The sequence below is a fragment of the Homo sapiens genome, chromosome 18 (genome assembly GCF_000001405.40).
Source record: "Homo sapiens chromosome 18, GRCh38.p14 Primary Assembly".
Classification (NCBI taxonomy): Eukaryota; Metazoa; Chordata; class Mammalia; order Primates; family Hominidae; genus Homo; species Homo sapiens.
In genome coordinates this window covers 28,725,098-28,740,468 of record NC_000018.10, presented here as the reverse complement: position 1 = coordinate 28,740,468, position 15,371 = coordinate 28,725,098, and positions in this window count along the sequence as shown.

Genomic DNA, 15,371 nt, shown 5'->3' with positions numbered 1-15,371 from the left:
AAAGACATAATTGATAAATCATTTATACTAACTTAAATGTAAGGAAAATTACTAATTGTAGTACTAAAGTGAGATTTTCACATAATTTTTATTCAATTACAGTACAAATTAAAAGCAATTGTTGTAGAACTAAAGCTGTTGAGTTAGCTGCCTGGGTTTGTAAATAAAATTTTATTAGAACACAGCCTTGTCCATTATTTACATATTGTCTTTGGCAGCTTTTGCACTACAATTTCAGAGTTAAGTAGTAGTAACCTTTTCTTACCCTTTACAGAAAAAGTTTGCCAATCCCTGGTCCTAAGAATTCAAAATTAAAATGTAACTTTATGAAAGTCTACAAATTTAAATGTATTCATCATTAAAACATAAAGTGAACGTTTAAGACTGACATTATTCTCAAAATATTTTTTCTTCTAAAATACTGAAAGTTGTTAAAAGCAAAAAGAAACATCAATTATGACTAATAAATATCAAAATTTAAAGAAAATATTTAATGAAAATGCATTTATTTTATTACACATTTTTATAAAAACAAAATTATTTGCAATTTCGCTTTTTGATGTCTATTTATTTACCAATAGCTTTAAGCAAGTTAGATCTTGACCTACATATATATATAATATAAATTTAAAAGAAATGTGAATTGTGGAGTTTCAAAACTGTTTCTTTCACTCGTTGGTGCAGTCATTGGCATTACCTCCTTCTAATTCAACACTAACTCTAGAACTATGAATTGGAACAGGAAGAGCAAAAAGAAAAATGGGTACACTACACTACTAGGAGAAGATATTTCATTAGGCAAGAAACTATTGCATCCATATCTGAAAAAAGTTGATATTATTTTTTTCTTACCTATGAGCATCCACCATGAAAATTTTTCCTGATCCTAAAATAGTATCTCTCTCCCACATTATCAAAAGCACGACCTCTAACCTTTAAAGGTTTGGACACAAAGCTTTTGGTTTCAAGACAACAGAAAAAATGTGGAGAAATATTTTCTTGTGGCCTAACACTGCTAGTCATGAGAGCAGATGTTTAGCTTTTCAGGTAGTGCCACACCTGTGCTAACTACTAGATTTCAAGTGACAGAGGCATCCAGATGTTTTTTAATGAATATATTCTCATTATTTCATGTTTGTGGTAAGTGAAGCTTTATAAAGCACGGGGCCTCCTCTTGTCTGTGTCTGAAGGCAGCTGTGCTGCTAATAGAATAAGGAATGATGTGGGAGGGATAGGTTTAGTAATAGACATGACTCCTAGGGTAAAGCAATTCTACCTTTCTATGTTAGTCAAGTCTCATAGACCATGCTCAAATGGGGAAGCCTAGGAGTATATAGTAAAGGAACTACTTACAAAAGTATAAGCAGGGTTCAGAGAAACCAACAAGGGATGCTGAAACACTACTAGAGCTGGCCTCATTGAAAAACAGTGAGAAACAGTGAAAAAAATTGGGACTAGTCACAGGAGAACACATGACCAGCCCCTAATCTAAACTTCAAGGGCAGGGAAGAGTTACCAAATCCCTAAGAGAGAGCTGTAGTGTCCTCCACAGCCCAGGATGGAGGGAGTCAGGGAATGAATACTCCAATCTCACTCTCCTGCACCCAGCAGTCTCCACTCAGTGCCCCTCATTGGCCAAGTCAACCAAAGCCAGAGGGCAAAGGGCACTCCAAGTGGACAGAGTGGAGAGTGGATCTGGGTCTTGAGAAGGGGAGTTGATGGGGAATATTCCACACTCTACATGCACACAAAGTATTCTCTAGTTTTGCGGACAGAAAGAAGCAGCTAAAGCACTTTCAGCCTGGATATCTTCCCACCTTTAATAATCTGTTTTCCAGATTTAATAGTCTGTTCCCAGATTTCAAAATGCATGTTTTTGACCTTTATTTAGGAAATTGGCAATTCTGGCAGTGTTATTATTATGCAGTTGTAAACGCCAATGATTATTATTTCTGAGAAGTTATTCTATATTCAAACTACGTTCTTATTGGCTCTGTCTACAATTCACATGGTTATCATAATCTGTAGATGTAGGAGCTATGCAACATTCTTTCTCACAATGAAATGGGGTTGATCTATTTGAACAGTTGATTGCCAAAAGTCAAGTCTCATTGTTTGACCAGATCCTATGATTTTTTTTCTAAACTCTCTATTTGCAAACTCTCTACTCTGCCCACTCTTTAACAACTGCTTTACTATCCTGGCTGCAACCATGCTCTGAATCCAACTGGTGCAGTGGAGCAGAGCAGAGCTGTAGCAAGGAGAGATGTTCATTGGTGATACAAAGCTGTCATCAAATTCTGCTGCCTTAGTAATACATTCTCCAATTTGGAGTTGGCAAAGCAGATCACAGAGGTAAATACAGAGAGCAGATCAAGGCAGCTTATACATCCTTAAAAAGTCAGTGGGAAGGAAATTAATAAACTCTTGCTTGCTCCTAAAAGAGCTGAAATTACCATCAGTGTTCTGGATTTTTTTTTTTTTTTTTTTTTTTTTTGCCTATAGTGGGAGTTTAGGTAAAAATAGTAATAGTTACTTTAAAATAGCCTACTTAGAATTATAATTACCTCATCCCAAAGGTTGATATTTAGTATACTGTAGAAGCAAACCTTGCCACTGCTTTGTGTAAGGTTTGTAAAGGTTGATATTTAGTATACTGTAGAAGTAAACCTTGCCACTAACTCCTGTATTGGACCCTGGCTCCCTCTCACTGTCTTTCCTAGCACCTCAACCCTCTCTAGTCACAGTTCTTGAAAGACTCCAGACTGTTCATTAACATCTGTGTCATAATCAACTTTAAGAATTTTTACGGGGTCTAGGAAAGTAAAACATCTTTGATGCAGCTCAACCCAATTTCTTTTAAACCAATTGGTGTGTCCACAGGCTGATGTCTGCCTAGATCTCCTTGGACCTATTTTATTATTTCTGTGATTACCTCTCTCAGCTTTAAAAGGCATTTGTTCAACTTTCCTATGAGACTCCATTTCTAGGGGCCATTGAAACTGGCAATTCCATGAGCTGGCATCCCCAAAGGGTGACCTTAGTAAATGACCAGGAGGTAAGAGAGTAGAAAGCCTAACTCTATGACCTCAAGGTGAAATCACTTCCCTGAAAGGTGGGATCAGGCAATCATCAAGAGGATTTTGCCAGAAATTTTACCTTTGTTGGTGTTTTAATCAGTTCAAGCTACCATAACAAAATAATATAAACTGAGTGGCTTGTATACAACAGAAATTTATTTCTGATGGTTTTAGAGGCTGAGAAGTCTAAGATCTAGGCATCAGCAGATTCAGTGTCTGGTAAGGTCCTGCTCTCTGATTCATAGATGACTCCTTCTCACTGTGTACACACATGGCAGAAGGGGCACAGGAGCTCTTTGGGGCCTTTTCTATAATGGCACTAACCCTATTCATAAGGACTCTGCTCTTATCATCTAATCATCTGCTAAATTCTCCACCTCCTAAAATTATCACATTGGTGATTAGCTTTCAACATATGAATTTTTTGGGGTACACACATTCATACTATAGTGCTGGCTTCTTCCTCTTTCTTGTTCTGCTTCTGCCTTTCCATATTAGTGTCTCCAGGAAGTACCTTCTTAATGTGTCTCTTGGGCATAAAAGCTCATCTCAAGATTTGTTTCTAGGGATATTGACCTAAGAAAGCAACTTCTATAGTGGAAAATAATGCCTGTAACAAGAGCCACTGCTAATTCCTCATATACTCTCTTATCTTACTATTCATGAAATCTTATGTAAAATTCAGAAGGGGTAAGAAATGACAAATTCATGATATCAACCCAAACAAAATAGCATATCTTTGGAGACAAATCATGGATATTTTCTTGTTTTTAATGTGGTTATGAAAAGGTAAAGTAAGGGAGAAACTGGAAAAATTAGTTTACGCTTAAAACAAGCCCCCAGTTTAAAGCTGACATTGATGTGTTTTCACCACAGGGGCTTCTCAAGGCTGCTCCAGGCTGTTCTCTATCAGTGGTTAGCCAAGAGGACTATAGAAAAAGGGAGGAAAATAACATCAATGCTCTGACCTCCTGCTTTGTTTGAAATTACTAGTAGTAAAGACTGAGCTGGTAAGAGCTTTTAAAAGCATCTGCTCACCAAATCTTTTGAAAAGTTCTGTAGTCTTCCACTCAAACCAACAAATAATCTCTCTTTTTCACTTACTCCTAAAATAAATTTTTTTTTGTATGATTGTAGAAGCTTCTTAACTTCGTACCAACTCAGAGGGAAAGATTTTGTCAACTCTGCCCCGAACATGGTTTTATTTAACATCCTAATCCTAACAAATTTCACTTTCAATTGATTTCTGATTTCTTTTTTATTAAATAAAGGCTGCATATGGCTATAGGCTTCCAGAAGGGAGTGTGTCACTTCCATCCAAATGTAATATAGCCTTTAATTACAGGAAGCTCTGTCAGTGCATAATAGACATGCTGGGCTCTAGGGAATTCCAAAATACTTCTTATTCCTTGTCAGAGATAAGATAAATGAAACATTCCCAGCTTGCTTGTGGCTTCCTCTTTCAAATCTTTCAGAGGCGGAAGGGCAGTTTAAAAAATTAACTCCCTAATTCTTTCCTCATAATAGAAACTGTTTGCCTTTAGATACTAGACCATTTTTGTCTTACGTAATGTAGGATCATGGAAAGAATCCCAGACATTGAGTCAGAAGATTAAGGTTCAAGTTCCAGTTTTGTCATTTAATTGCTACAAGGAACATTCTTGATTTCCTTACCTATAAAATGAACATAAAAAGAAACAGTCACATCTACTAAAAAAAAGTTGTTTTGAAGAGAAAATAAAATACAAAATTAACTAACTCAATTTACAATGAGATGTGGCAAGAAAATGTACACTATAATAACTAGAGAAATAAAAGGCTTCAATAAAGGTGTCAATTTCAAAGGGATGACAAAGACTATATCCCTTCTTGCCAGGCTCAAGAATTACTTGTAGTGCTAATCAACACAACAAAAATAACCTTATTTTTTATTTTTTTTTTTTGAGACGGAGTTTCGCTCTGTCGCCCAGGCTGGAGTGCAGTGGCGCGATCTCGACTCACTGCAAGCTCCGCCTCCCGGGTTCACGCCATTCTCCTGCCTCAGCCTCCCGTGCGTAGCTGGGACTACAGGCGCGCGCCACCATGCCCGGCTAATTTTTTTTGTATTTTTAGTAGAGACGGGGTTTCACCGTGTTAGCCAGGATGGTCTCGATCTCCTGACCTCGTGATCCGCCCGTCTCGGCCTCCCAAAGTGCTGGGATTACAGGCGTGAGCCACTGCGCCCGGCCCAAAAATAACCTTATTTCTAATTGTCTTTAATTTTGTGAATTTTACCTTTAATATTTCAACCTTTATACTTTTGTTTTGCCTATTTATTTGCCTGTTTTTCCTCCTCCTGGCAGAGAAAGAAAATCACTGCATGATATTTACAAAATAAAAAATAAACAAAATAATAAGAGCACTTCATACTCATCATGAATCTAATTGGGTATTTTGAATCCAGTGGTGTACACGCAAGGCAACTCTGATGGAATGTTCAGAAGCTTAAATTTGGAGTAAATACATTTGAATTTCACCCTTTTTTGTAACTTGTCAGCCATCTAAATTTTTGTAATACACTTAACCTTTCTGAATTTTCATTTTCATCTATAAAGTGTCAATAATATCCATGTATCAGGAGAGTTGTTGTGAGGATTAGTATAAACACTTATTATCTATCTAACACTACTGTCAATACTGTTATTACTATGTCAGTCAGGTGTGGTATCGGGGATGATAAGGGAACTTTTTTTCATTTAATATCTTTATAACTGTCCAAGGGGTTCTTCCTGTCTGCTGCATGAAGGACTACAGCATCACAGTAGAGAAAGAGTTTAATAGACACGAGCCCAACCATGTCACAGGGGAGACAGAGTTCATACTCCAATCATCTTGTCCAAAGCTCATAGGTTAGGGGTTTTTCAAAAGCAGTTTGAAGGAAGGGGTGGGGAAGGCCAGGTAATGGTCTGATTGGTAATTGGTGAGGAAGGCCAGGTAATTGCTGCTGATTGGTTGGGGCTGAGATGACATCATAAGGGGTCAAAGCTGTCCTCCTGCAGGCTGACTTGCCTCTAAGTGGGGCCACAGGAGCAGAGTTGACGGGTCTAGGTGGAGCCATGTTTGTCAGACACGCAAAAAACCTGAAAAGATATCTCAAAAGACCAATCTACAACAGTGATGTTATTTGCAGGAATAATTGGGGAAGTCGCATATCTTATAACTTCCCGAATAATGGCTGATAATCGTTTATATAAGTCTGCACTTTAGCAGGACTCAGGATTCTCTCGTCCCATCAGCCTGATGGCTCCCCATTAGCTTTACAAAACTGTTGAGTTTCCTGGCAAGGCCTATTATCTTTTAAACTACAGCCTAAATGTTTTACAAAGTTAGCTTTGCCCAATAGCCCAGGAATAATTAAGGGAAAGGCAAGATGAGGGTAGGTTAGCTTACTTTACTCTCATAATTTTTCTCACTGATATAATTTTGGCAAAGGCGTCTTCATCTTTTTCCTGACATGAGTCCTCTCTTCTACATATTCTTCTTTCAGGGGCATCCATTGCTCCAATACCTACATTTAGTAAGTCATAAAATCCTTTTGGTGCTCTATTCTAATTTTTTCACACTTTATTTTGATCCCATTACCCTAGTCAGCTCCTCACAGTTTCTGTTTTCACTTTCTTTCTTAAGTAAACTATTGTAAAGGCCTCTGTGCTCTTCTCCAAATCATTCTCCTATTTGCCAGTTGTTTTCTCCATAAAGCATAGAACTGATCACACCACTCCTCTGTGTATAATCCTCATATTAATTTCTATTACCTACATGATTAATTCAAAACTTTTATAACAAGTTTCTAACCCTCTGTATCTTACTTCTGGCCTGTCTTTATCTTTGTAAGAAACCGACTTTCCTAGGAAATTGTAATCCCTTGCCATTCCCCACCCACACCCTTTCTCACATTCACATATCCATATCCACCCCTGTTTTACCCCCTCTCCCAGGAGTTCTCCCTCCCTTTCTCCTACCTTTCCTGATCCTAGTCACAGTTCAGAGCAGAGCACAAATGCCAGTTCCTCTCTAAGCCAGTCCATCTGAGAGATGGTTAATTTCCAATTCCTCTGCTTATACACAAAACTTTGCTTACATCTCTGATTTCATTGCCAGTATTTTCTCATATTATACACACACACACACATATACATATTTATATGTATATATACCCTAATTAAATTACCTATTTAATTTCCCAGCACCACAGTCTCTTGAATAAAATAGGTGATAGGTAAATATGCATTGAAAGATCACAGCTGGCAGAGCATGGTGGCTCACACCTGTAATCCCAGCACTTTGGGAGGCAGAGACAGGTGGGTCACTTGAGGCCAGGAGTTCAAGACCAGACTGGCCAACATGGTGAAACCCCATCTCAATAAAAATACAAAAATCAGCTGGGCATTAATGGCTGGCGCCTCTACTCAGCTCAGCTACTCAAGAGGCTGAGGTAAGAGAATTGCTTTAACCCAGGAGGCAGAGGGTGCTGTGAGCTAAGATGGCCCTACTTCACTCCAGCCTGGGCATGAAACTCTGTCAAAAAAAAAAAAATCACAGTTACATAAGTTAGTTTCAAATAGAAGGAATGAAAAAAAAATTCTGTGTATTCAAATGTCTTCACCTGAATTTTATTCCCATGTCCTTTCATCTCTGAATCAAAACTTGATCATGTTGGTGTCTCTTTCTTTGATATACAGTGAACCAGATAATCAGATAAACTGAATTATAATGTTTTGGTAGTGAATGCTAATACTTGAGTAAAAGTACATTGGGGTACAATGACCTCTTAGAAGTGGAAACTCTGGGAGAAGACATCAGATATTGGAAGAGATTACTACAAAGGTAGGGACTTTCAGTCTCAGTATATCAGATGATATTCAACTCTCTATTCTGCCTCCATGCGAAATGTCCTGCTCTTGCATACAGTGCAAAAAGAATGAGTATAAACCTAGAGGAGAACTGGGAGATATTAATTGCCATTAAACAGACAGTATGTTCTAAGAGCTAAAATATTACAAAAACAGAGCAACAGTCTACCCGTCTAGTGATGAAACTTCAGGACAAGGCTGGCGACCCTGAAATGTGAATACAAAGTGAACTTTGATCCCAGCCTGCCAAAGTGGTACTTTTCTTTAGCACAACAGTCCATACTAAACTGAGGCTATTTGCCAATAAGCTCTAACTCTTTAGTTCTAAATTTGCTATTATAAGGGAGTTCTCTTCCATCTAAAGAGTTGCCCTTAGCAGACCTCACTCTTGAATGAAGGTCACCAGCATTATTTAAGAATGTAAAACTCAAGCAACAAAGACTGACCCTTGAAGCAGTATTTCCAACTTCTTGCAGAGTTGAATGAGTTGTTAAAATGGGTTTAAAGGCAAATTTTGGATTCACACATTCAGTAATCCTTGTTTTGGGGCTGTTTTCTAACCAGGGCCAACACTGCATTTAGATTTCCACCTGTTCCCACTGAGAGGGGACATTTTCCTCAAATGCACCCGGGGCCAGTATGAGGCTTTTGAAATGTCTTGAGTTAAGTCTCCAATCGATAGGTTTATGGAGGTCATGTTATGTAGTAGGCTGCCACAGTCTGGCACTTTAAAACTCAACGATGTGTAAAGAATGCAAAGGCTGACAGATACTCCTTTTAAAAACCATCACCAATCCTGGCTTGGAGAACTCCTCAAGCATGGTTCAGGTAAAGAAAAAAAAAAAAAAAAACACTGTGAACAGACTTTGCACAGATGTGAACAGACTTTGCACAGAAAACTTCAACAGAGAAATGCTTTCACTTGGGCAAAAGTATGCAGTATAAGGGAGCTGCAGTGAAGAGCCCCAATAGCAATGAGGCAGTGTAACCACCCAATAGGATCACCTTGCCCGCTAGACAGAGCCAATTTTTCAAGACAGGGGAATTGCAATGGAGAAAGAGTAATTCATGCAGAGCCATCTGTGCAGGAGGCCAGAGTTTTATTATTACTCAAATCAGCATTTGGAGATCAGAGTTTTGCTTCTTGTTTGTTTGTTTGTTTGAGATGGAGTTTTTGCTCGTTGCCCAGGCTGGAGTGCAATGGCGGGACCCTGGCTCACTGCAACCTCCACCTCCCAGGTTCAAGCAATTCTCCTGCCTCAGCCTTCCTAGTAGCTAGGATTACAGGCATGTGCCACCATGCCCAGCTGAGGCGGGTGGATCACCTGAGGCTGGGAGTTCGAGACCAGCCTGACCAACATGGAGAAACCCCGTCTCTACTAAAAATACAAAATTAGCCAGGGATCAATGTTTTTAAAGATAACTTGGCAGGTAGGGGCTTGGGAAGTGGGGAGTGCTGATTAGTCAGGTTGGAATCATAGAGGGTTAAAATAAGGTTTTCTTGAGTCTTCTGCTCCTGGGTAGGATGGCAGAAGTGGTTGAGCCAGATTACTGGTCTGAGTGTTGTCAGCTGATCCAACCAGTGCAGGGTCTGCAAAATATCTCAAGCACTGATCTTAAGTTTTATAATACTGATATTATTCCAAGAAGCAATTTGGGGAGGTTCAGTCTTTTGGAGCCAGAGGCTACATGACCCCTAAACTGTAATTTCTAAACTTGTAGCTAATTGGTTAGTCTTGCAAAGGCCGACTGGTGCCCAGGCAAGAAGGGGGTATTTTAAGGAAAGGGCTGTTATCAATTTTGTTTCAGAGTCAAACCATGAACTGAATTCCTTCCCAAAATTAGTTTGGCCTATGCCCAGGAATGAACAAGGACGGCTTAAAAGTTAGAAGCAAGATAGAGTCTGTTAGGTCTGATTCTTTCACTGTCATAATTTCCTCAGTTATAATTTTGCAAAAGTGGTTTCAGTAGTAGTAGGTAGTAGTAGTAATACTACTAATAATAATAATCAATGTCACAATGTCACCTCAACATATACAAAAAGATAAGTTCAAAGTACCACCAGAATATAGATTCAATATCTTTAAAACCTTCATTTTTCTCATCAGTAAAATAGGGATAATAATTAATTTTTCCATTTAGGCTGCTATAGGAGAATACCACAGACTATGTGGCTTATAAACAGCAGAAATTTATTTTTCACAGTTCTGGAGGCTGGGAAGTCCAAGATCAAGGCACCAGTAGACTCAGTATCTGGTGAATGCCTGCTTCCTGATTTATAGATGGCTGTCTTCTTGCTGCATTCTCACATGGGAGAAGGGGTTAACCAGCTTTCTGGAGACTCTTTTATAAGGACACTAATCTCATTCATGAAGGCCCCACCTTCATGACCTAATCATTTCACAAAGGTCCCATCCTGTAATGCCATTACATTGACAATTAGGTTTCAACATATGAATGCTGGGGCACACAAACTTTCAGTCTATGGTGATAATTCATTTCATTTCTTCTCCAAAGAACACTTGTATTAGCATTATTAAAAAACAATTATAAAACTGGAGGATTATGTGAACATTATGTGAACATTAGGTGATTATTAATAATACATTTACTCATAAAAGAGCTTGTCTTTGGAATAATCACACTTGATAGATACTGTAAGTGAATGCAGTGAACTGGAGGTATCAATAATGCCCCATAGCCAGAATTTTAAAAGCATGAAGCAGGAATTGGACATGACTTGTGTTCATTTTATTTGATATGGTTTGTATAATTTGGGCATCACTCTTATTTTTAGGCAGTAATAAAACCTTAAGATAAAATGGGTTGACATCTCGGTTCTTAGAGATGTCCTGGTAGCATTAGGACAGAGTTATGATCTAGGTAGTTGTATAAAATTAAACCTGGTGGCCTATACAGAAGACAGCTGCAACAATGGTTTCTCATCTCTTCTCCTGGCATGTGACTCACTTCAGAAAAATTATCTTAGGAAAATCCACCAAAGCCTAAGAATTGTAAGAGTCACCTGAATAATATTCTGCCTTTATCATAAAGAAAACAAGTTTTTATTGAGGAAAATTTATATATATTTAGCCAATGCTAGAAAAATCAAGTAGAAAATAATTGCATATATGTATTTCTCTTTATGTAATACCACTATTGTGAGAATTGTTTTGTTTTTGTTAATAACTAAAATAACTGATTAAATGACTGATTTTCCTGAACCGACTGTATTGGATCATCATACAAGTCACCTCAACCTAACTCCATCATAAAAGGAAAAATGAAACCTATTATTTTCTCCCAAAAGTATATTTGAGTTTCCAAACTCTTGAAGAATGTGATCTGGGTAGTTTACTATTTTCAAACCAGAAGACATGATACATCATGTTAAAATGCTAAGCCTGTAGCCAGATGTGTCCCTGACGGGGTTTCCTTTATTCTGTCAACTCCATGCTGGGAGAGCTTCATTGTCATAATTCTGTACATCCTGCCCTAATACTTCTGATGTCTTCCCTTAGAAAAATCAAACCAAACTTGACTGGTCCTAGTTTTAAAAATAGCAAAATACAAAGGCTTTGATGTCTTTTATTATTATTTCTTTGGGCAGTTTGAGTAACCTGATTTTTAAAATTTGGTTAATAACTCATCTGAGATTAAGTACTTCTAGAAGCGGCTCTAAAAAAATAAAAATGCAAACAGTAAAAACTAAAGTGCAAACGCAATGCTTTAAAATACATTCAACACAACAGAGGTGGCAATGCCATCTTGTTATGACTTCTTTTATATAAATACTGTTTAAGAAACCGAAAAGAGGCAAGCAATTATTTAATAAGTAAAATAAACACAAAACTATTAAAAGATGTAAATATTTGACAGAAAGAGAAAATGTTTGGAAATATTACACGTTTGCTGATGCTGTACATGTTTGCTTAGATTTATTTAATATGTGACCAGATTTAATATAGTTCATATCCAGGTTAAATGTGTACTTTGAATCTTTATAAGCAGGCTGGAAGTTTTCTAATTTGTTTACAGTAGAAGGCTCCAGAACTGCCAGGGCATTATGTTTTCCTAATACACATACTACTTTCCACTCCTCGCTGTTGTTAAAAAGGAGAATGTTAATGTAATTATGGAAATACACAATTTGACCTTTTTTTCTTATTGGTTGGGTACAGATGAATAGTGTAAAAAAAATTCTATTAATAGTCATTTTGATATAAAATTTATTAAATTCATGTACAAGAAACTAATGAATATAAAGCCTAATATAAAAATTTCTGATTAATACTATGCCATATGTGCTGCTTTTATGCTACAAATTGTTGCAAATGATATCTTCCCTAAAAGTTTTACAAGTATAATGCATCTAATTTATCTTTTCTTAGTTAATAGCTCGATAAACAAAAAAGCCTTTTCCTTTCATCTTCCTAGGAGGTGTCCTACAAATATAATCAATTCTCAATCTATGTGTTCTGTCCCTCCTTACTGTTTTTCTAATTAATTCTTATTATTCCTTCAAATAACTCAACTGTCACTCCCTCAAGGAAGAATTTCTTAAAATACCTCACTATCTCAAGAGTTCCTAGGTTTACCCCTGACTCCTCTCTTTTTCCCTTTGCTATTAAATCCAGCAGCCAGCTCTGAGGCTGTACCTTGAAATTATATCTGGAACACAACCACTTTTCACTATCTGTAATTTTGCCACCAATACCTGAACTACCCTTATTTGTGCCTAGAATGTGGAAATGTGGAGTAGACTTCTCATGGGTCTCCATGCCTCTCTCTTTGCTACTTAACAGCCAGAGTGATTTTTTTATTTTTTATTATTATTTTTTGACAGAGTTTAGCTCTTGTTGCCCAGGCTGGAGTCCAATGGCAAAATCTCTGCTCACTGTAACCTCCAACTCCCGAGTTCAAGCAATTCTCCTGCCTCAACCTTCTGAGTAGCTGGGATTACAGGTGCCCACCACCACACCCAGCTAATTTTTGTGGTTTTAGTAGAGATGGGGTTTCACCATCTTATCCAGGCTAGTCTTGAACTCCTGACCTCAGGTGATCCACCTGCCTCGGCTTCCCAAAGTGTTGGGATTACAGGCATGAGCCACCGTGCCCAGCCGAGGGTGACCTTCTTAAGACATGTCAGACCATGCCACTCCTCCAACTCTCCACAACTTTCCATGTTACTAGGATACAAGCCTATGGCCCTGAAATGAGCTAGAAGGCCCTACTTTTTCTATCTCCTACCTCAATTCAGTTCCTCTCTGATCACATCTTCTATTATTCCATATCTCCTATTATACCATATCTGTGATTGATATAAGATTTTCAAGAATTTCTGTATTTATTTTGTTTATTGCTTCTCCAAAAGCAGAGATTTTTGCTGATTTTTTTCAATTAAAAAAGAACACTTTGCTGATTTTTGTTCACTATTATATCCTCAAAAGGGAAAGGGCACATATAGTAGCTACTCAATAAGTATTCTTGTGTGAGTAATTCACGATACTTCTTTCTCAAGGCATTGCACAGACACACCTTAAATCTCACATTTTGTGCAATTATTTGTTTAATGTTTGCATTCCCTATGCTCAGTGCTGACATAAGCACCAGGAGTTCAGAGACCATTTATGTTTTGTCTACCTTGCATCCTCAATGCCCAGCACATGCCATATGTATGATATGCATGATATATATTTATTTATTTATTTAAGGAATTAATAAAAGGAGAATAGTACTAAATCTTCCTCTTTATTTTCTAATGTGTTTATATTATTCAAAAATTACAGTATTTTTGTAATAAGTAATTACTCATTATCTGATCTTTCCATAATATTTCCATGAAGCAATCCAAATTTTAAGCTGTCTTGCATAAGTATCTTATTTAACAGTTACTTTTGTTTTCTGTTTTGCATAAGAACCTTATTTAAAAGATCAGTATTTGTTTTTCTTCACAATAGGCAGAAATAGATTTAATTCCTGTGTTCATTCCTTAGAAGCAGAGTGTAATTTTGCAGCCATCATTCAAAACCACTATGCTAAACAAATAAAATATATATAACACCTTGTTGTGTGAGTTCACACAAGAAGCAAACATAAAATGAGCATAGCATAATCAGGAAAAGAAGAAGTGGCCACCTATAAATCAGGAAGGTCCGTGCACTACAGCCTTTGTCTAGGTCTATTGACTCATCACCAGGTTTTTTGCTAAAAGCAGTCATTTAAAACGAAGTCTGCCACTCTTTGTTTTTCTGGCCCAAATAATATTCACTCAAGAGTATCTGGCCATGCCAGTGGTTGGGCAAACTTGTTAACATGCACATCCTTCTGGTGCAGCACTGCCATCCTTTCATCAAATACATTTGATGTAAAGGGACTTGAGGTTTCCCATTAATAACTCTAGAAAGCAAACTGCAGGTGCAGGAGTAAGTGTGGTGATAACATATAGGCATGACATGTTTCCAGACCTCTTCCAAATGGGCCTTGGGCTATGAGTCTGTTTGTGGTTGATGTCCAATGTAGACAGCTGTGTGAGTCACATTGTGCTTGGCTTGCACTGGTTCAGGCAAAATGGAAAATTCTGTGAAGTCCGCATATACTGTGTAATTAAAATACAATTTTTTTATTTCAAATTTATTTAAGCTTTTAACTTCTGAATTTTGAAAGAAAGTATGTAATAGACCTCTATTGTCTCTGAATCATGTTTGTTAAGAAATCTTAGGATCATCATTGAAATTAAACTTAACAAGCACCTTATACCGCCCTCAGAGAAGCAAGATGACCATAGCAGTGTTTCCCAAATTATATCTTACATGTTCCATGGTTCTCTTTCCTCATTCAGGTACTTCTCTTATGCTTGCTCAGTTAATTAATGACTTTTTATGTAGAAAGTTAGAGCAGTTTAACCTACATATTTCTTACTGAGACAATTTACAAGCAATTACAAATTATCAAATTATTAATATAATAACTCTAGCTATAATCACAGCTTATTTTAATTAGTTATTGTTCTTTTTTGTCTGACTCTTTCTTTGGTTCTTCTATTCTAATTTCCTCTAATGTAACACTAATTTGTATCTGGGTGAAAAGATGATGTGTTTTAAATAGATGTCCCTGTGAAACTTTTAGGAAGCACTCAGCAGAAACATTTTGAATGAAGGAATGAATAGATAAATTATTGAACATATTTAAGTACTTTTTATCTTTTAAATGTGAATTATATAAATAAATATATTTGCCTTCTAGAGCATAAGTTTAGTCAACATGTATTTTTAAAACCTATTCTAAACACCAAGAACACAATAGTGAACAGACAGACAAATATTTTGCACTGATGCAAATCATATTCCAATAAGGAAAGAATAAATAAACACTAGTTTGCTAAAAATAATATAGTAAT